This window comes from Homo sapiens, chromosome 20 (assembly GCF_000001405.40).
Source record: "Homo sapiens chromosome 20, GRCh38.p14 Primary Assembly".
NCBI classification, from domain to species: Eukaryota; Metazoa; Chordata; class Mammalia; order Primates; family Hominidae; genus Homo; species Homo sapiens.
In genome coordinates, this window is record NC_000020.11 from 13,020,656 (window position 1) to 13,043,146 (window position 22,491).

At 38.5% G+C, this 22,491-nt stretch overlaps 1 protein-coding gene across 5 annotated transcripts in view, besides 1 other annotated feature; it reads left to right on the forward strand.

Annotated features, from left to right (window-relative positions):
* The window catches only part of SPTLC3 (serine palmitoyltransferase long chain base subunit 3), a 160,132-nt gene that overhangs the window by 11,684 nt on the left and 125,957 nt on the right, over positions 1–22,491 (forward strand). The window lies entirely within an intron of this gene.
* Positions 8,826–10,025: an enhancer, noted in NCBI's record as "CDK7 strongly-dependent group 2 enhancer chr20:13010129-13011328 (GRCh37/hg19 assembly coordinates)". NCBI's record gives its function as "activates an origin of replication core promoter dependent on BRD2, BRD4, P300/CBP, MED14 and CDK7 cofactors, with strong dependence on CDK7, by STARR-seq in HCT116 cells {active_cell/tissue: HCT116}" and the evidence as "EXISTENCE:reporter gene assay evidence [ECO:0000049][PMID:35650434]".

The following is a 22,491-nucleotide window of genomic DNA, read 5'->3' on the forward strand; positions in this document are numbered from 1 at the left end:
TTATGTGGTAGCTTTTCGCACTCCCGCACCCCTTAGGATGTCCCAGGAAAATGTGAACTCCTTAAGGAGGAATGATAGTAGAAAGACCACTAGCTTTGATATCAGATGTAACTGGGTTTGAATCTCGGTTCTGCCACTTACTAATTGGGCCATATTAGGAAGGTAACTTTATGTCTCTGATCCATTCTTTATGAGGCTATGGTAAAGAATAAATGAGATAGCACATGTAAGACTCCCAATAACTATCAGGCATACAGTAGATAGTCAATAAATGATTATTATCTATTAACATTAGCCTGCAGTCACCTCTTTCTTCTCTACTGCTATCATAAGACTAATCAGTACGATGCCCAGCATATAGTAGATGTTCAATAAATGACAGCCATAAACCCTTGAAATCCTTCATCCCATAATGACTTCTCAATCTTCATTTTACTTGACCTGTCTGCAGCATTAGTGAAAAATAATCACTCTCTCTTTCTCAAAGCACATTCTTCTCTTGACTTCCAGGGTATTACACTCTTGATTTTCCTCTTTATCACTAGCTTTTCCTATGCATTTTCTATTCTTGGTTCCTCCTCCTCTCTTTGACCTTTAAACAATGGAATGACCCAAGGCTTAGTCTATGCCCCTCTATTCTTTTCTAACTGCATATCTCTCATGAAGATCTGATCTTGTTTCATCATGTTAAATACAGTAAGACATTCTTCTTCAAAGGGTTAACTTGTTTAAGTTTGCTTGCCCTTTTTTCCCTGCTTTCAAGGCCAGACTCCCTTACTCTCTGTGTTCCCTTGCCCTGGGAAACAACCTTCCTCTCAGTCTTATCTATAGAGCCTACATTCCACATCTGCTACTCACTCTGTAAATCACCTCCCCCCACCACAACAGCCCCCCCACCAATCCCCCGCCACCATCCCCACCTCCACCAAAACTGTTTTCTTGTCAGTGTAACTGCATCCCTGCACGTCTCAAGTTAGCCAACTGGGTTCAGCTTAGATTGTGTGGTCCAACTCTAACCAATGGAGACTGCACACAGCAGTAGGAGCCCAGTGTGTTAGGGATAAATCTGCTGCTTTCCTTTGTTTGATGTGCTCTCGTGGTGACCAAACTAACGAGCAGCACCCTTCTGCAGAAGTAAACTTTGCCTTGCTGAGAAATCAACTATCAGAGTGTCATTTCCTTTGCGACTTCAAGCTTTATTTCTAACACATCATGATAGATAGATTAGATGGATGATAGATAGATATAGATAAGTAGATAGATGTATAAAATAGGCATTTCCAACTGACTACTTGATGTATAGAGATATGTAAATGTATATGCATAAATAGGCATTTCTGACTGCCTACTTGATCTTTCCACTTGGATAATCAAAAGTCGTCTCAAACTTAATATGTACCAAACTGTGCTCCTCATGTTTCCTCCTCCCGCTCTCTAAAACTATTTCCCTTACAGTCTTCCCCATCTCAATAAATGGCAACTCTATCCTTCTTGTGGCTCAAGCCATAAACCCTGGTGCCATTCGTGACTTTTCTCCTTCATTCTATTCTGCATTCTATCTCTCAGTAAAACATGAGCTGACCTTCACAGCACATCTAGAATCTGACCACTTCTCACCTTTCCCTCAGCAACTCCCTGGTCTTAGCCCCCTTTATCTCTCACCTAAAGTATTACAGAGCTCCAACTCTTTTATCTGTGTTCCACTGTCTATTGCTGCATAACAATGCAGCCCAACACACAGTGGCATAAAAAAATGATTTTATTATGCTTGTGGATTCTGCTGGTCAGGAATTCAGAAAAGGAACAGTGAGGACAGCTCTCCCCTGCTCCATGGTGTCTAGGGTCTCAGCTAGGATGACTCAACTGGCTGGGCTGGAGAAGCTGGGCCAGGAGGGTCCACTTTCCAGACTGCCTCCTCAGTGTCACACCTGGCACCTGGGCTGGGAAGGCCAAAGGGTGAGACAAGCCAGGACTGTGAACTGGATCGATGCAGCCATAAACAAGCCCACCAGGTTCAAGGGGAGGAGATTAGCCTGTCTCTTAATGGGAAGAGTAGCAAAGAATTCATGAGCATGTTTTAAAAACCACCATGTCCTGTTTCCACCCTCCCCTCCCCTCTGCCACAATCCACTAGACTTTCTCTATACAGCAGCCAGTGCTGCTGAAATAAAATCCAGAGATGTCATTCTTCTGCCCAAATCCTTCCCATGGCTCCCATTTCACTCACAGCAAAAAACAAAATACTTACCACGACCATAAGGCCCCACAGCCTGGCCAGATCATCTGTGACTCATCTCCTGCTACTTTCCCTGAGCTCACTCTAACCCCAGATGCTGCACAGCCTCTTCACTGTTCCTGGAGCCAGCCACCCATGGCGTCCTCCCACCTGCAACATTTGCATTTGCACTCCTCATCCCCCGTCCTGGAACACCCTTTACCCAGACATCCACAGGGCTCACCCTTCTCCTACTTGAAGTCTTCACTCACATAGCACCTTCTCTGTGGGACTCAGGCTCACATGCTTTCTAAAATTGCAACCCACCCCCCAACTTCCTGGCCCCTTTCCTGCTTAATTGTTCTCTTTAGCATTTAAAAACATCTGCACATGTGCACACACACACACACACACACAGAGTCACACATATACCTACACACATAAACACACATGCATGCACACATTAATTTATTTCCTATCTGTTGCCTGTCTCCACATTTAGACTGTGAGGTCCACCTGGGCAGGAATTTCTATCTTTTTCACTGCTGAATCTCTAGTACCTAGACCAGAGCCTATATGTAATAGGAGCTGAAAAATATTTATGGAATGAATAAAGACTATCTGTTTTTACAAATCTGTTCTTTGCAAGAACTCCCATTTAACATACCTAGATCTCTAAAAGACTAAGAAAGCTCTGCTCATATGATCCACAGACTTCTTTGTAAACTTCAAAGTATATAACCTCTTATTAATTAATTCACAGGTTTCTTAAGCTTTGTTGGACAGCATGGCTACTATTTACTACCACCTTTTTAAAAATCACAAAGTCATTAGATTACTTTGGTGACCAGGTAACAACATGCTTCTCTATTGCTATCCAGATATGATATACTCCAAGCTTGGAGGTAGGGAGCATGCTTTAAGCAGTGGAACTTTTTGAAGAGAATGAAAATAGAAATAAAATATTATTAATTCATCTTGATCATTCCTGCTGCATCTTAGCAGGAGATGAAATATGCCTGGATTAGAGGGAAAATGACTAATCTCCCAAGGTGTGTAGGGCTGTCATCAGCTTCTAATAAAATACTGCATTCTCAGAGTCGAGTGTCCAAGAAAGTAAATGCGATCTGTTTTCCTATGAATGACCCATATATGAGACGACTTTTAAAACTTTTATTTAACAAACTTTTACATTGCACTACATGCTAAGAACTTTACAAAAACCAACTCCGTTGACCCTCACAACAACCACGTGAGGTTGATACTGTTACTATCGTCATTTTTTAGATGACTAAACTTAGTCATGCAAAAGTTAACTAAATTTGCCTGAGATAAAACATATAGTTAGCAGTGCAATCTAGTCACAGGACCTGTCTTTTTATCATTAGATGAAATGCCCTTTCCTCCACCATTTTATTGTAAACATTTGCAAATTTATAGAAAACCTTATATAATTCTAAATAAATATTCATATATCTACTACCTAGATTCTAGTTAGCATTTTGCTATACGTTTACTACTTGTCTACCTATCTATCTATCTATCCATCCATATGTTTTATGCATCTCAAACGAAGTTGTAGAATAAATACACTTCACTTCTAAACCCTTCAGCATGCATACCATTAACTTCAATATTTTTCTATAGTTTTTTTTCTTTTGAGGTAAAATTTACATACAATGGAATGCACAAATCTGAAGTATATCATTCAATGAGTTTTGACCTGCATTGGCTTTTGATTCCTTTTTTGGAGAAAGTTTCCTAATGTAGTTTTGACTGTGGAAAGATGAACTAAAACTGCTCACTTAAAATTAAAGAGTTTAATCTCTGGAGAAGAGAACTGGCTAATGTGTAAATCATCATCTAATGACGTAAAGGAAGAGCTCACCAGAAGGCTGTCTTCTAGAGAAATTCCCCTGCTACACACTCATAATTCCACAGCGATCAGCAGCTATTTTCCTCTTTGTCTTTAGTGTAATCTCTCCAGCAGGAAAGGAACTTAGTTCAGTAATCTTTACAATTCCACTCCATCCCCTGTCTTCTTGAACACATGAAGAAAGCAAAGGCCAGGAATTATAATAGTTTGATGATCCTTAAAATAATGTCTGCTATTGCAAATTTCTTTAGTATCAATTTCAAAATTGATATTGTGAACTTGTATTTGTCTCATGTTACAAGCAAAGGCACTCCTTTCCTATGGCCCAAAATAAGAGCCACATGTAGAAAACTTCCTTTTCTGCGTGTCACAGATCACCACGTCAGAGAAAATAATTATACAGGTAATAACTGCTACCATACATGAGGACACTACTATATGTTCACCCTTTTATAAATATTGTCAATCCTTACAATAGACTTTCAAATTTCACATATAATGAACCAAGATTTGAAGAAATCAGATGATCACCCACACAGCTGGCAGGTAGTGGAAGCAGGATCTTCTGACTCCTAATATCACGTAACCTCACCCTACAGCCTTATCACCCTAGTAACCTGAATCATTATGTAAAACTTGGAAGCAGGATTTGACTTTCACACTTCCTGAGCTTGAATCCCAGCTTCATGGTGGTGTGACCTTGCATAAGCAGTTTAATCTCTCTGTGCCTCAGTTTTCTCACCTGGTAAATGAGGTGAATAGTAGTGCCTACCCTATTGGATGGTGGTGAGAAATTAATAAGATAATGCATGCAAAGCCTTAGAACAGTGCAGGCACCAGAGGAAATTCTCTACAAATGTGCACTATTACTAATATTGACCCTTGCAAGAATCTGCCTTATGTCCCTCTCTGCCCCTTCTTTGGTGAAACAGTGCCAGAATATGACAAGAGGTTGCATATTGGTTGACCTGCAGAAACCTTTTTTTAAAACTTCTATTTTAGGTTCAGGGGTACATGCACAGGCCTGTTATATAGGTAAACTTGTGTCACAGCAGTTTGTTGTACTTATTATTTCATCATCCAGGTACTAAGTCAAGCACCCATTAGTTATTTTTCCAGATCTTCTCCCTCCTCCCACCCTCCACCCTCCATTAGGTCCCAGTGTGTGTTGTTCCTCTATACCTGTCCATGTGTTCTAGGCATTTAGCTCCCACTTCTGAGAACATATGGTATTTGGTTTTCTCTTCCTGCATTAGTTTGCTAAGGATGATGGCCCCCACCTCCATCCCTGCTCCTGCAAAGGACATACTCTCGTTCTTTTTTATGGCTTCATAGTGTTCCATGGTGTATGTGTAACACATTTTCTTTATCCAGTTTGTCACTGATAAGGATTTAGGTTGATTCCATGTCTTTGCTGTTGTGAATAGTGCTAAAATGAACATATATGTGCATGTTTCTTTATGGTAGAACAATTTATATCCCTTTGGGCAGGTACCTGGTAATGGGATTGCTGCGTTGAGTGGTAGTTCTGTTTTTAGCTCTTTGAGGAATCATTGCACTGTCATCCACAATGGTTGAACTAATTTACACTCCCACCAACAGTGTGTAAGTGTTCCCTTTTTTTTGCAACCTTGCCAGCATCTGTTATTTCTCAACTTTTTAGTAATACCCGTACTGACTGGTGTGAGATGGTATGTCATTGTGGTTTTGATTTGCATTTCTCTAATCAGTGATATTGAGGTTTTTTCATATGCTTTTTGGCCACGTGTATGTCTTCTTTTGAGAAGTGTCTGTTCGTGTCCTCGGCCTGCAGAATCCTTTAACACACAGTGACAGAAATATACTTGAATAAAGCATCAATACGTCTTCAAATAAAAACAAACTGAATAGTAGAGTATAATAATATTAAGAAATTAAGGTTAGGTGCGAACAAAGTGCAGTGTTGAAACTCGGATGACCATAGCAGACCCTGCTGGTGCCATGTCCACTTCTGCTCTTGGCGGTTACCATTTCCATGTGCACAGCCTCCTCTCCAATGGCCAATTCCCATGCCCTTTTTCTGAGAACTTTCTGAAAAACTGTTACATGTCAGACACTGTTCTAGGAACTGGAGCCCGTTCTTCCCTAGTGGGCATCAGGCCAAAAGCACCGGAGATTCAACACCCCCTAGAAGCAGTGCTCAACCTTTGACTGATGGGAGCTGGATGATAAATACCCCAGCAGCCTCATCCTTCGGGAAAGATAATTCTTAGGTGTGTTCTACACTGTCTTCTGCAGACCCCGGTGGAAGCGAGCTCCAGCTGCCCACACTGGTAACTGCCTTAAAAGCACACCGTTCATTGGTTTCCTTCCCTTTTCTGGCTGGCTCATCTCTCCTCCTCTAACAGTGCTTCCTGGGATAACCTTCCAAATAAACAGGTTGTATTTGAATCTTTTATACAGGTTTGCTTCTGGAGAACCCAAAATTAAGACAGTGATTTTTATAAAACACGGCCAATTTTTACCCCTTTAACCTTCAGCATCAACTACAATGATCCTTACGTCTGTACGTCCCTTTCACATCCAGGATCTCATTGTACCCTCAGTCATCCAGGAAGTGATCCAGTGCTGTGAAGCAGATAAACAAATGCTACTGACCTGTTTTAGGATGAGAAAATGGGGCTCAGAAAAGTGAGATCAAAACCACATAGATAATAGAGACAGAGCTGGATAATATTATAATGCCAGACACAGACACGCCGACTCTACATTCAGGAATGCCTTCAAGGGCTGGGTGCAGCAGACACCTGTCAGGCCCTTATTCAGTGCATACAACTCCGTCCACTTCCCCTCATAAGAACAGGAAGGAAGGAAAAAAATCAGAGCCTCTGTTCTTCAGTAATCTATTTCAGCACGCACACACACACACACACACACACACACACACACACACACGCAAAAGTGTCAATTTAGTTATTAAACTGCCCAGAGGAACAGCTTTGGGAATCAGTCTTACTAAAATTTTAAAAATCCATGCGATTCTAAAAGCCTCAAAGAATAATACTGATTTCTACCTAAGACTTTTATAGCTAGGCAGCAAAGTGATTTTACATGGCATATCAGATAGCAAAATTTTCTACAAATCTCTCTTAAACAATTATTTACCTTTGTCATCACATCTCTATGTTTTATATGATGTATATTTCTTAGAATACCTTCTTTGGAGTCTTTGACCAGCCTCAGCTCTATTCTTAAAATCTTGACATTACGAATGGTTAATTCTAGACCCAGCAAGGGCACACGAGTCAATTCACGCCTTGGTTCCTTTGTTGAGTTTGCCCAAGGCAGAGGCATTGATGACACGGTTGGAACTCTTGGGTTCTTGCAACATAACATGCTTTTCAACCACCTACTTTGATAATTAGTCCTAAGGAAACTTGGCTCCAGAACTTCTTACATATTAGAATAATAATGGCAGAACGGATATCAGATCTCAGAGAACCATGTTATATGATTTTTTTTAAGATCTTAGTAATACATTTCTCAACAGGACCAGAAGTTTCTGTTCACAAAGTGTGAAAGCTCAGGGGGCTGATGTCTGGTGATTCAGTCCAGTGGAATCAGACTTCAGAATTTCATAGACCTGTGAGTTTTTTTTAAGTGAATTATATTGTACCAAAGTTTTTATTCTGCCATGATTCAAAAGATCTAATAACCCCTTATCCACTATCACTATCGTCCATAAATTCACCCTAAAAGATATTATGGACATGATGTCTGATTAAGAGACAGTCCCTAGGAAGATGTCCATATATGTATATACTTGCAAGCATAATATACTTATATGTTACACATATATATCATTTTTAAATTTTACCATACATCAGTGAAAATTTTCATACATGTCTTTAAAGTGTTATAGACTAGTATTTAGGAACTATTAGACTAACCAACAAGTAGATACAAGATAAGAATGGACTATTCTTCTCTGCTGGTTTTGCATTTTGTCAAAACCAGGATCAAAGCCAACAACAGTAACTAGCTTCCACTTCCTTTAAGGCTGAATTATTTATGCTTTGTTCTCTCACAAGAGTGTGATATTCAGACCTGGAACACAGCCTTGGGACACTCGTATCCTTTACTGCTGATGAAGCTATTTGGCTATTATTTTAAAATAGGAAGCAACAGAGACTCAAACAGGTATAGTCACTTGCCCAAGATCTCAAAACGGCCAATCCAGGGCAAGACATGCCTGTGCCCTTTGCCTGTAACACTGTACTCCCTTACACATCACAAAACCAGAAACAAACTCCGAAGGAGCCCTTGACAGTAACACTATTTGTCCACCCATGCAAATGATTTGGGGCACCTGGAGATATCCCACAGCTGAAGTACATCTCGGGTTAGTTTGTTAGCTTATGACAGGAGGGGCTGGCCTTTTCTTTAAGAATCCATCCTTTCCCATTGGTTCATTCTTAGCAAGACAACTGAATCACGTCCCTACAGACTGAGTATAGTACTCAGAAATAAAAGTGCTCCACATGGTGACCTGCGAAAATGATTCAATGGTTGAATTAAACAAGTCACAGACATCAGTTCGCTTTTGTTAAGTATAATGTCAATCTTAATATTCCAGTCAGATAACTCATGCTTTTCACCTATTCACTTCTTTCGGCTCAGGAGCTATGATGGCTAAAACATGCCTGGTTATACAAAGCTGGTTGATTCAGGAGTATTGCTAGTCAAGATTAGCCTTGCTCTGGGAGAGGTTATTTTTTCCTATATTATATGGCACTTGAAAACAATTAATCAGATAATTATAATTATGATCATGGATATTATTAGACTTTTTGGAAGCAAATTAATAAATTGTTGTGGTGCCATTTTCTTAGCGAATTACTTGTTTGGAGACAATATACTTATTTTTCATGGAAGCAAAAGGCTTTCATGAAAAGTAAAATAACATGTGCTGCTTTCAGTGCAAACAAAAGATCTCAGCCAGGGAATCCGTATATTTCAACTAAGTGTAATCTGTAAGGATACATTCTGTCTTCAAAGGAAACCAAAAGATGAACCAAGTTATATGGGGTAATAGGCTATGTGCAGCCACACACCAATTCCTAATAAACACACAGAGAAGGGAACAGCTGCTGAATCCTTGGCAAGTTTCTCTCTTTCTAGGTCAGAGAGCCTTCTGCTTCTACATGTGGCTGAATAGCAGTCCCTGTTTGGTCTAGCATCAGGGGACAGGAAATTTTGGGTGGGACCTAGGTATAGTAGCTCAGCAAGGAGGTGCAAGAAGAAATTGGTTTATTTTGATTCAAAAAGAAAAACTGTGGTTTGTAATCCAAGTTCAGTCCACGGAGCTCAGCCAAATGACTGTCAGAACCACATTGCATGTGCCTCCAGGAGCCCCACCCTCATAATAACTCATCCATGAGTCACTGGCTGCCCCTACTGTGAAGAAATGCCACAGGGCACACCACACTGTGATGTCAAAACACACCTCTGTTGTTGGTTCATTCCTGTGGAATTTAGGAGACTAGCCTTTTGAATTTTGGTCAGAGACTTGAAATTTCAGAACCAACTAAGTAAGCTGGACTCATCAAATTTTCTTCCACCACGAATATAAAAGAGATTTTAAAATGACTAACCACAAATCACTGTGAACCACTGAATACGGGGGCTCCCTGGAGATCTATTTACCACATCATCTTCCAATGGCCCTTTCAAGAACCATGCCTGATCAGGCTACCATTTGTTTAAACTCATCAGTAGCTTCCCGTGTTAAGATCAAAGCTGCAATCCTTAACACAATTTGCCAGCCCTGCATCACCTCCTCAGCCTATTCATTCTTACATTTGTTCCTTCATTCATTAAATATTTACTGGACCCCTGTTACATGTCAGACACTGTTCTAGGAACTGGGGTACTACTAGCAATGGACAAAGTGGATGGAGGTCCTCCTCCTGGAACTGACATTCAGCCATGCCTGCCCCTCCCTATCCATGAGCTACCCCAACCGCACACCCTCCTTACCATTCCTCAAGCACTTCCTTCTGCCTGGAAGACTTTTTATTCCTGGTAAACTCCTACTGATTATTCAGATTTTATTTAAAACTTCATTTTCTTTGGGGAGGACCTTCTCTTTTTCTGAACTAGGTCAGATCCCATCCTATAACCACTCCACAGCACTCTTAATTACTTATAATTTTCCTTTTTCTAAATATTGTTCATCCGTATTTCCTTCCAGACCAAGGGTTGGCAGCCTTTGATAGATAGTAAATATTTTCAGCTCTGTAAGCTATTCAGTCTCTGTTACAACTACTCAACTCTGCCACTGCACCGGAAATGCAGCCATAGGCAATACATGAACAAATGGATACAGCTGGGTTTCAATAAAACTTTATTACAAAATTAGGCTGCGGGCCATAATTTGCCAACTTCTGGACAATAGAACTTCCTATGATGATGGAAATGCTCTATAAATGTCCTGTCCAGTAAGGTAGCCACCAACTACATGAGAATATTGAGCACTTGAAATGTGGCTAGTGCAATCGAAGATCTCAATCTCTAAACTTAATTTAAACTATTGAAATTTAAATGTAACTAACGACATATGGCTAGCAACAATTGTATTGAACAGCATAGATCTAAACCGTGAGAGCAGGGCCTCTGTCCCTCTTGCTCACACCATTTCACCTGAACCTAGCACACTAGCTGGCACAGAGTTGGTGCTCAATATATAATTTTGGAATGAATGAATGAACAGATGTATAAACATGAAATAAATTATCAAACTCCTTGTCTCCTTTTCACCACTGCTATGGCACTTGGCTAGACTTCTTGCTCTCTAGTCTTAAAAGGTTCTATTTTTGTTCTATTTTGCACATGGTTTCTCTCCACTAGCCCATGACCTCCATGAGGCTGGGTGCTGTAAGACACTACCCAAGTGATCTTTCCCATGCCCAACACAGGTACACGCACGTGGAAGTCAAGCTTTGCACAGTGTTTGCAGCTACTAGTATTCACCTGAGATGGAAAAAGACTAAGTCCCATGGGTACTCTATTTCTGAAATATGTTCCAGTTTGTCATGTCTTAAAGATCTAACTTTTATGTTTCTTTCGGGCTTTAACCCTGGTATGTGGATTTGAGAGGATCAACTTAGTCCTGTCTTTTCCCGCTTCATAACCTTAGGCAAGTTGCTTAATGTCCTTGTGTCTCTCTTATTACGTGAAGATGATTCTAATTCCATTGCAGTGATCCACCACCTACTTCTTTGGAATAGCATGTAAGTAAATAAGAGCATGTCCATAAAAGCTTTTGAGCACCTGAGAGATAAACATTGTTCTCACATGGCATTTTATAATTGGTCAAGAACGTGGTAGTTATTCTCAGAGATATAAAACCAATAGTACATTGTTTTCTCTGATTTATCAGAATAACTCAATAAAAGCTCTGTGTTCCTCAAGTGAGCCAGCCAGTTATAAACAAGATCAGAATAATGCAGCCATTGCAGGATGGTGAAGGATAGCCACTTAGCTCTAAAGCTGAAGTAAGTCCAATTGACTTAGAACCTTCACCCTAGCTGTCATTCCAAGTGGGGTCCAGTTTACAAATATTTCTGCCCTGCATTTCTTCTGCAGTTCTGATAGGGGAACATCCCAATGAAAGCACACCTTTCTTTCACAACTACCTGAAAGACAAAGTCTGGCTTACCCTGCTATCAAAGGCGTTCCATTATTCAATTCCAGTGGACTCTATACAGCTTATCACCAAGTATATACCATTCAAGGCCCAGCCAGAGGCCCATGCAAGGCCATGTTCCCTCATTTCCACCCACCAATGGGTGCCCACACTGGTCCTCCTATCCTGGAAGGTCTTTACCACCTCTCTTAACTTTCCCAGTCTTGGCTCTCCCTCATTCACTCATTTCTTCAGCAGATATTCACTAAACACTCTGCTGGGGACTCAATTTAGACCCCTCCATGCAATCCTGCCTTTTGTGGGAATCCTTCATCCTTCACTCACCACTCTGGCTGCACCTTGCTGAAGCCTTGGCCCTCCTCAGATCCTCACTGTTTTGTTGGCTGACTTCTCAGGTGGTGAATGGGAAACTCAAGATGATGGGAAATTAAATTAACCTCTTATGAACTGACCTGATTAATCAATAGAAAGAAAGGGCTGGAGTAGCTAATATAGGAAAACTTGACCCCTCAAAGTTTCCATATTTGTAACTTATCACTCTCTTTGACTTCTGGGGTCAGTGAAGCCTAACACTTACAAAGACATGCTCAATCAATCAAGAACTAAGACTTGGGTCTTCTACAGAGTTAATTTTATACTTAAACTTCCTCAGACCTTGATTTGAATTTTGATCAGACCAGGTGTTTCCTAATACAGACATTTCCTTGAGGAGGTAATTTGGTTCTCAGACTTCCACCAAACCCTTCTAAGCAAAGGTTAGAAAGGAAAGAATTTAACAATATTCTGATAGTATGTGTGTATTAAGGTAATACTTGGTGTCATAATACATAAGCCACCAAATCCCAATGGCATAACCCAACAGAAATTTATTTCTATTCATAATAAATCTAATTGGTAGTGATAAGAAGTAGGGTTGGGAGGCGGTAAGGACTCTGTTCCTCACATTTCTTCAGAAAACCAGGCTAACAAAGGTTCTGGAATCTTTAATGTGTAGCTTCCAAGGTCATCTTGGCCATCAACATTCAGATGGCAACAGTGAAGAGAGGCTTTTATGAGCTAGTCATAGAAGTAACACACTTTTCTTCTATTCACTTCACGTTGCTCAGAACTCAGTCTTATGGCCACATTTGTCTTCAAGGGATGTCAGAAATGTAGCCTAGCTGTGAGGAGGAGAGGTAAATGGGTTTGGTGAATAGCCAGTCTTTGTCACACCAGACAATAGTGTTGAAATATTTAAAAGATAATAAGAGATAATGGAAGCTATTATTTTTGCAAGTGATCTTTTATTTTCTGTTCTTTCATTAATGAACAGAAAATATTTATTAAGTGACTTGCCTATTAAAAAATCTTTAAAATATTATTGTTATACAAGGTGGTGAGTGTAATGATGGTGTTATGCAGTGAGAACATCCAGCCTGGTGCTTTTTAGGAAGTGAAGCCAGAGCTGTGTCTTAAGGCAGGCAGAGTGTCTGTATGTGAGGTGGAGGTGAGGGAGAGGTGAAAGGGGAGAACAGTTGGGAAGAAACAGAAGAAACTGAAGAAATTACGAAAAGTGACGATATGAAGAAAGGCTAGGAAGGAATAAAAAGCAGGGTGTGAAGTGAGAGCCATTTGATACTGCTTAGGCAATAAATGGAAGGTGGAACATCAGAGATCAGGCAGATTATTGTCTTCTGTACCAAATAACTAAGCTCTATACTGAAAACCAACAATTCCCAAAGAGTTTTTCTCATGACATAGGTAGATGTCATGAAAGATAAAAGAAAAAAAAAATGTATTTGATATATGTACTGAGTTTCCCAAGTTAAATGGTTTTTCACTTCAGTATTGCTCACAGCACTTAACAAGTTGATTCAATCAGCAAATATTTATCCCACATCATGTGTGAGGCCATGTGTAGACACTGGGGACACAGTGAGGAATAAGAAAGATATTGCCACTGACTGCTACATCCTAGCTTTTGACATGAAAATCCCCAGCACAGGGCAAAGGTACATACTTTTTTTTCCCAAACTCTTTTTGTTGATGGCCATCTCTAGGGAGCAGATTAGAGTTAGACCTCCTGATGGTGTCCCATAATTCTTGTGGTCTTTCTTTATTATTCTTAATTATCTTTTCTCCTCTAACTGGAAAATTTATTTTCCAGAAATTATATTTGCAGAGAGTGGCTGAAAACATCTACATCTGGGGAAAGATGCCAACACACAGACATAGGAAGTACAGAGACCTTCAGTAAAATTTAACCCAACGAGAAACTTTACCATCACACATAAAATTAAACTACCCCAAATCAAGAACTAAATAGTGTATCATTTGCGTCAGTTCTACATGTAAAAACATACTTTTTGTTATTCACCAAAAAAAAAATGCTGTTATAGATGATGGTTGGATGTTAGAGCTAGAGAAAGAGTTGTCTAGCACCTGCAGAGTTGAGGAGTCAAAATCAAATAAAGAGACCACCCAGGAGGTAATTGCAGTGGTCCAGGAGAAAGGTGATGGGTATCTATCCTGATGTTCTCAATTCTATCTTGGGGATCTTTCTCTCTATTCATTGCTACTGTGCCTATCCTTCCACTGCTCAGCAGTCAAACCTTTGATCAATTCTTCCCTCATTCATGAAACCTCCCCTGCCTTTTCCAGCCAGTGTTAGCTTCATGTTCCTCCCAGTTCTCACAGCTGTTCCCTGAACATCTCTCTATGTACCATTTGTCAGCTTTCAGTCTCTCTGTGGACATTTCCTGTCTTCTGGCAGAACAGTTGGTAACATGGACACTCAATGAGACTTGGTTTAGTGTTGAACTGGTAAGAAAATAATGACAATAACAAAATATTTCAAATAGAATTGGTGCTGGAGTTTTGATGCTGTCGAAAAAGTAAATTTTACTATAAGTTGTCCTACATATTGGTAGATTTCAGCGGCCTGAACAACTTGAGTTGACTGAGCAACTAGATTTCTTCTACTCCAGCTATCCTACTTGGTTCTGCTAAATAGGAGCTTTCTTGAAGCTTGGATTTTATCATGTGAAACATTGTTTTATTACAGAGTCTGCTAATAAACTGCCAAGAGGTCAATGATTAATTACACCAGGTGCCTTCCGAAACAAAAATAAAATTATCAGGAAGGTGCTGTGTCCAAATAAACGTATCAACCAATAAACTGCTAACTGGTCAATGATTAATTGCACCTTGTGCCTTCCAAAACAAAAATACAATTATCAGGAAGGTGCTGTGTGCAAATAGATTTATCATACATGACTATACACATGTAGAATCAAGTGACACACTCTAAAAGAAGCAACTCTCCTATTTGTAAACAAATGATCTGGGCTGAGACTTGAGTTTTATAAAGCATTTCTAAACATTTGTATTTATAAAATACATGTCATAAAGCTATTGTTAAAATACTCATTTCTTAAAATCTCCAGACAATTTAGAGAAATTAATTCACCCTAATTAAGTAAGGCAAATTAAGTTGTATTATATGCCCTTCCAAGTAAGGTAGAACTGTACTCTCATCATTCTTGCATCATTCCATTTTCATGATCTTTGGTGCTATATCACTTGCATAACTTCAGTCATATCTAATTGACATTCCAAAGTATTTTGAAGAGAAATAAATGGCAGCTTTGAAATCAATCAGACATTCAAATGTTTTAGACTAAAAGCAGAGTTTTCTACTGAGGAAAGAACTGAATTTTACCAAACATTAGGTGATGATTTAAAAAAAAATACATGCTAAAAGTGCATAATCTATACAGTTGACCCTTGAATAACACAACTTTGAACTGTTAGGATCTATTTATACACTGATTTTTTTTCAATAGAAGTTACACTGGGTGCACCTCTCCTTCCTTCCTTTCCACCTCATCCACCTCTTTCATCTCTGCCACCCCTGAGATAGCAAGACCAACCTCTTCTCTTCCTCCTCCTCCTCCTCCTCAGCCTACTTAGTGTGAAGTCAGTGAGGATTAAGAACTTTATGATGATCCACTTCCACTTAATGAAAAGAAAATACATGTCCTCTCCCTTATGATTTTCTTAATAACATATTTTTCTCTAGCTTACTTTATAAGGATATAGTATATAATATAAATAACATACAAAATATGTGATAATCTGCTATTCATCAGTAAGGCTTCCCATCAACAGTAGGCTATTAGCAGTTAAGTTTTTGGAAAGTTTAAAGTTACACATAGATTTTTGACTGCACAGAAGGCCAGCACCCTTAACCCCCATGTTGTTCAAGGGTCAATGGTACTACCAATCAGGTTAGGGCATTCATTAACCAATCAGAGTTGATTTGGGACATAAACAACTGAGATGAGTATATCAGTGTGTACTAGATAGCCATCAGTCCTGCCCCCTCCACTGAGACCCATCAGTTAGTCCCATATTTAGTTTACAATTTTTGTTACTCTGATGGGAACTGACTGATGGATCCTTTCCACTGCAAGTAATGGAAGCCTCAAACGTGGGTAGATTGAAATGAGGCTTTTGTTATTCTCTCATAGCAAGTCTAGTATTGGGTAGTCCTTGGCTTTGTTGATTCAGTAACTCAACAATGTAATCGAAAACCAGTATTTTCCATCTCTTCATTCTACCATCTTTTGTGCATTAAAAAATGCCTTCCCCTTATGCCACAGGAAGGTTGCTGTAATTCCAGAAATCCCAATCAGACACAACAATGTCTGGAGAAAAACAGAGACATTTTCCATTTTTTACCAACTATTTTTATTCTTACATAAAGCCTTTCTCAGAAGTCACCCAATGGACGTTCCCTCACTTCCCATTGGCCAAGACTGGTCTTCATGCCCATGTCTAAACCAGTCACTGGCAAGACTACTATGGCTATCTTGGACTAATTATGCTTTACCCCCTGAGGCTAGAGAAAGGTCACCTTCAACTGAACATCAAGGTTCTTCTTGCAATAAATAAAGAATATGACCATAAGGTAGACAATCAACAGTCTGCATCGCATAACAAACCCCACCAGATGATCTGTTTGAAAGGAGAATTTGTGATCTTGTAAAGCCACACTTGCACTCAAGTCTCAGTGCTATGCTCATGAAACTCAAATTGAGCCCCATTTTTATGTTTCATTTCTTCTGTAGTAATGACAGTTGGACCACAGGGCTTGTTCAGAGTCTGAGGGAGAAGTGCTCCTATATAACTATGAATGAAATGTGAATCTCTTACAATCTTTGAAGGCTCATCTCCTACAACAGAACATTCCTTCAGGTTATCAAGAATAAAATGAGTCTTAGAGATGCGGAAATATTTTAGATGGGTGGATTAATCAGGATAAATAATGCTAACTGCTGCAACAGAAAAGCCATAAGTCTCACTAGCTTAACCATGAGTTTTATTCGTCAAACATGTAAAGTTCATTGAAGATCAGGCACCACTTTCACCCTGTAGCTTTTCCTTCTGGATCTGGTGGTTTGCAAGATTCAACGGTAGAGGAAGAGAGAGATGGATGAGACATACCAGCTCGTGACTGCCTCAGCCCAGAAGTGACACATGACATTTCCACTCAGAGTCCATCAGCCAGAATGAGTCACATGGCCTACCACAATTGCAAGAAAGGCTGGAAAATACAGAGAAAATCATGAATATATATATATATAATATATCTTCATTATTAGCTGTATTCTGTCTGCCATATGGTGTGTAAAAATCATTTTCACCATTGATATATTATTGGTCTGTAGTTTTCTTTATCTGTGATGTCTTTGTATAATTTTGATCACCAAGGTAATATAAGGCTCATATAATGCATTCAGAAGTGTTTTTTCCTTCTGAATATTTTAGAAGACTTTGTAAAGAATAGGCATTAATTCTTTAAATGTTTGGCAGAATTCACCAGCAAAGACATCTGGGATTGGGCTTTTTCTGTGGGAAGTTTCAAATTATTAATTCAATGCCTTCATTTTTACGGGTCTATTCAGATTTTCCACTTCTTATTGAGTTGGTTTTTTGTATTATGTGTCTTTCTTAGAGTGTCCATTTCATCTTAATTCTAATATGTTGACATATAATTATTCATCGCATTCCCTTATAATCAGTGTTATTTCTGTAAGAACAGCAGCAATGTCCCTCTTTCTTGATTTTAGTAATTTTGCTGGTTTCTCTTTTTGATTGATCCATCCAAGCAAAGCTTTGTTAATTTTGTTGATTTATTTGAAGAGCCACCTTATTTCTGTTATCTATTTCATTAATTTCCACTCTAATTTTTGTGATTGTTTTCTGTTTGCTTTAGCTTTAGTTTGTTTTACTTTTTCCATGGTCTTAAGATAAGGTGATAAGTTATTGATTTAGATCTTTCTTTTTAAAATAGAGGCATTAGAGCTATAAATGTCCTGTTAAGCACTGCTTTAGCTATATCTAATAAGTTTAGGTATACATGTCTTCATTTTTATTTATCTCAAAGTGTCTTCTAATTTCACTTGATGTCTTCTTTGACTCATTTACTATTTAGGAAAATGTTGTTTAATTTCCACATATTTGTAAATTTTCCCATTTTTTCTGTTATTGATTTCTAATTCCATTGCCGTTGGAAAGAACATACTTTGCATAATTTCAAGCTTTTTACATTTATTGAGGCTTATTTTATGACTAGCTGCAGAATGTTCCATATGCGCTTTAGAAAAATGTGTATTTTGCTGTTTTGGGGAGACGTGTTCCATAGATATCTCTTAAGTCTAGTTGGTTTATACTATTGTTCAAGTCTTCTATTTTCTTGTTGGTCTTCTGCCTACTTATTTTATTCATTATTGAAAGCAACATATTAAAGACTCTAATATTATTATGAAATTTTCTACTCTATTTCTATCAGTTTTTACTTTGCACTTTTTGGGATTTTGATGGTAGATGCATACATGTTTATTATTGTTACATCTTCCTAATGAATTAATCATTTTATTATTATAAAGTATCCATCTCTCCAGCAACAGTTTTGTTTTAAAATCTATTTTGTCTGATACTACTATAGCAATTTCAGCTTTCTTACGGGTGCTGTTTTCATGATATATCTTTTTCCATTCTTTTACTTTTAACTTGTTTGCATCTCTGAATCAAAAGTGTATCTACTCTAGACATTTTAGAGTTAGATTTGATTTTGTTTTCATCCAGTTTGACAATCTGTACTTGATTGGGTCATTTCATCCATTCACATCTTCTGTTATAACTGAGATAGTTTCATTTATGTATTTTTGCTTTTTGCCTTCTGTATATCTCATGTCCTTTTTGTTTATCCATTCCTAGTTTAGTGCTTTATTCTATATTTTAAGTGAATATTTTCTAGTATGATATTTTCATTATTTTAATAATTTTTCACTTTTTTTGAGTTTTCTTAGTTGCTCTACGGCTTGCCATACATATGTTAATGTACCAAAATCAACCGCAAATTTATACAAACTTAAATCCAGTGATATATAGAAATGTTACTTCTATATAGCCTACCTTCCCTTTTATGCTATTACTGTTATAATATGACATCTATATATTTATAAAATCAACAGTACAATCTTATAAATACTATGTTGTACAATTTTATGTCTTTTTTAAGAAGCTGGAAAGGAAAGGATGCCAAATATATAGGTGTATGCATGTACGTGTGTGTGTGTGTGTGTGTGTGTGTGTGTGTATGTATACATATTGAGAAAGAAAGAGTTTGTTACATCAACTTTCTTATTTATCTTCTTATTTAACATTTCTGGTTTTATTCATTAGTTGCTGTGGACTCTAATTGCCATGTTGTATAATTTCCTTAATTCAATATAGTTTTGCTCACATCCAATTTCTTTGTGCTGTTATTGCATAATATATGTCTATATATGTAAGTTCAACAATGAATTTATACATATTGTTTTATACAATTTCTTTTAAAATTATTTAATAGTAGTAAAGGGAAGGGAAGAAACGTGTATTTATACTTTTTTTTTTTTGACGGAGTCTTGCTGTGTCTCCAGGCTGGAGTGCAGTGGCGCAATCTCGGCTCACTGCAACCTCCACCTCCTGGGTTCAAGCAACTCCCCTGCCTCAGCCTCCCAAGTAGCTGGGACCATAGGCGCAAGCCACCACACCTGGCTAATATTTTTGTATTTTAGTAGAGACAGGGTTTCACCATGTTGGCCAGGATGGTCTCGATCTCCTAACCTCGTGATCCACCTGCCTTGGCCTCCCAAAGTGTTAGGATTACAGGCATGAGCCACTTTAATAATTTCATAATCACCTTTGCCTGTGCCCCCTTTTTTTTTTTTGGTTGGATTTGAATCATTGTCTGAAGTCACTTGCTTTCAGTCTGAAGACCTCCCTTTAGTACTTCTTGAAAGGTGGGTCTGCTATTAACAGATTCTTTCAGTTTTTGTTTATCCTGAAGTGTCTTTATTTTGCCTTCATTTTTGAAGGCTAGTTTTGCCAACATAAGATTATTGGTTGACTTCTTAAAATATTTGTGCATTTTGAATATGTCATCCCACTGCCTTTTGGCTTCCATTTTTTTCTACTCCAAAGAAAGCTGTTCACCTTATTGGGGTTCATTTTTATGTGATCAATTGTTTGGCTCTTGCTGCTTTTAAGATTTTCTCTTTGTCTCTTAACATTTTTACTATAATATGTCTGATAACAGATCTCTTTGCCTTTATTCAAATGGATATCATTAAGCTTCCATAGGTATGATTAATGTTTTTCATCAAATTTAGGGAGTTTTCAGCCAATATTTATTGAAATGTTTGTTCTGTTCCTTTTTCTCTCCTCTCTTTCTAACACTCATATTGTGTATATGTTGGTGTACTCAACGGTATCCCACATGTTTCAGAGGCCTTGTTCATTTGTCTTTATTTTTTTCCTCTGGTTTTTTTGTTTGTTTGTATTTTGTATTGCACAAATTCCCCTTCTCTATCTTAAAGTTTTCTAATTTTTTGGTCTTCCAGTTTAAATCTGCTATTGAGCCCCTCTAGTAAGTTTTTGTTTCTGTTATTACACTTTTCGATTTCAGAATTCCCACTTGGTTCTTTTTATTGTAATTTCTATTCTTTATAAATATTTTCTATTTGATAAGACATTGCCATCATACCTTCTTTTACTCCTTTAACATGGTTTCCTTTAGTTCTTTATATATATTTGTAATAGCCACGTGGCTGTATTTACTAAGTCCAACATCTTGGTCCTTCTCATAAGCAATATCTGTTGTTCTTATGTAGATCACATTTTTCTGTTTCTTTACATGACTCATATTTTTGGCTTAAAACTGAACATTTTAAATAAATTGTACAACTCTGAATACTAATCACTGCCCTCCCCCGCCCCCACTAGAGGATTGTCTTTGTTGTGTTTGCTTATTTTTTTAGTGACTTAGATGAGCTATTTTCATAAAGTATATTTACCTCACAGTGTAAAACCTCTAAGGTTGCCACTTAGAGAGTGCAGACTTCAGCATGTCATTGAAGTGACAGTGGTTTTAGGAAGCTTCTATATGACTGTGCCTTCCCAAATCATTCTGTAAAGCTATCTTCCTCTGTTGGTATCACTCCCAACTGTGAGTCTCCACTCCACTACTTGCTGCCGGATTGCTCTATTGGTTTTGACAGTGCCCTGCGGCATAAATTGCTTCACAATCTAATCCAATTAAATTCATGATCCTTGGTATGTTTAGCCTTTGAGGTTTATTCTGATCTTAAGAGGGCTCTTCATAGCTATCAATTTCCCTGATTCTCTCTGGCTGAACTACCTACATGAAGATTAGCTTGTTGCTTTTACCGAGTTACCAGTCTCTTCTAAAGTGCTTGCCACCAGAATCTCCACTGTTTTCCAGAGCACCCTTTAATCTTGAACTTCCCTACTCTTTGTGCCAAATAAAATAAGTTATCTTGGGGAATGCTCTGGAGCTCTCTCTCCCACTGGGCAAAGCCAATGAATCACTGCTTCAGAGCTAGGGAAAGGATAGTAGCTCTAGGTGGGGCAATACCTTCTGGTTTTCTTGGCTTTCCTCTTCCACCATGGAACCTCTATCCTGCTAGTGTGCTGGAGTAAGGGTAATTGGGGCCCCAGTATTCTCAGCATGCCATGTCTGATATAGAGTCTCTACCCTACCAGTGGGTGTTCATTAGAGGAAGTAAACCCTCAACCTCTCAGCCACACTTGCACAGAATTTAGCCTCTGCAAAACAGAACTGAGAGTGATAAGAAATGATGGTAGCTTGCCCCTCTCAAAGAAATACCATAACCCTTGCCTGAAGCAGGGGACAGGAAGCCTCATCTTGGCCACCTGCTCAAAGTAGAATGTTTCTACTTGCTGAACTGGGAGACAAAGGGAGAGAATAGGTCATGGCTCAATGCCACAGACTCTCAGTGTTCTTTTTTGATATTTAGTGTATTTCCTTCAATAAATATTTCTTCATTTGTTATATGCCCTTAAGACAATGTCCAAATACTTTAAAAAGTTATATTTTTATAATTTTTACCAGTTATGCTTTATTTCTACTGTGAAGATGATCTCTGAGGCTCTTTATGCCACCAGCAGGGAAATAGTCTACCTTCCATAGATTTTTAACCAGGCTCCTATGTTTGAACACCATATAATGTTTAAAGTAAATCTCTTATTCTATAACACTCACAGTGGTTCTGTTTCCCTACGCAAAACCTAACTGCTACAATGTAGGCAGAGACTTATTCTTAAACACCAGTATCCTTGGAAGTTTGTGTTCTCCCTCAG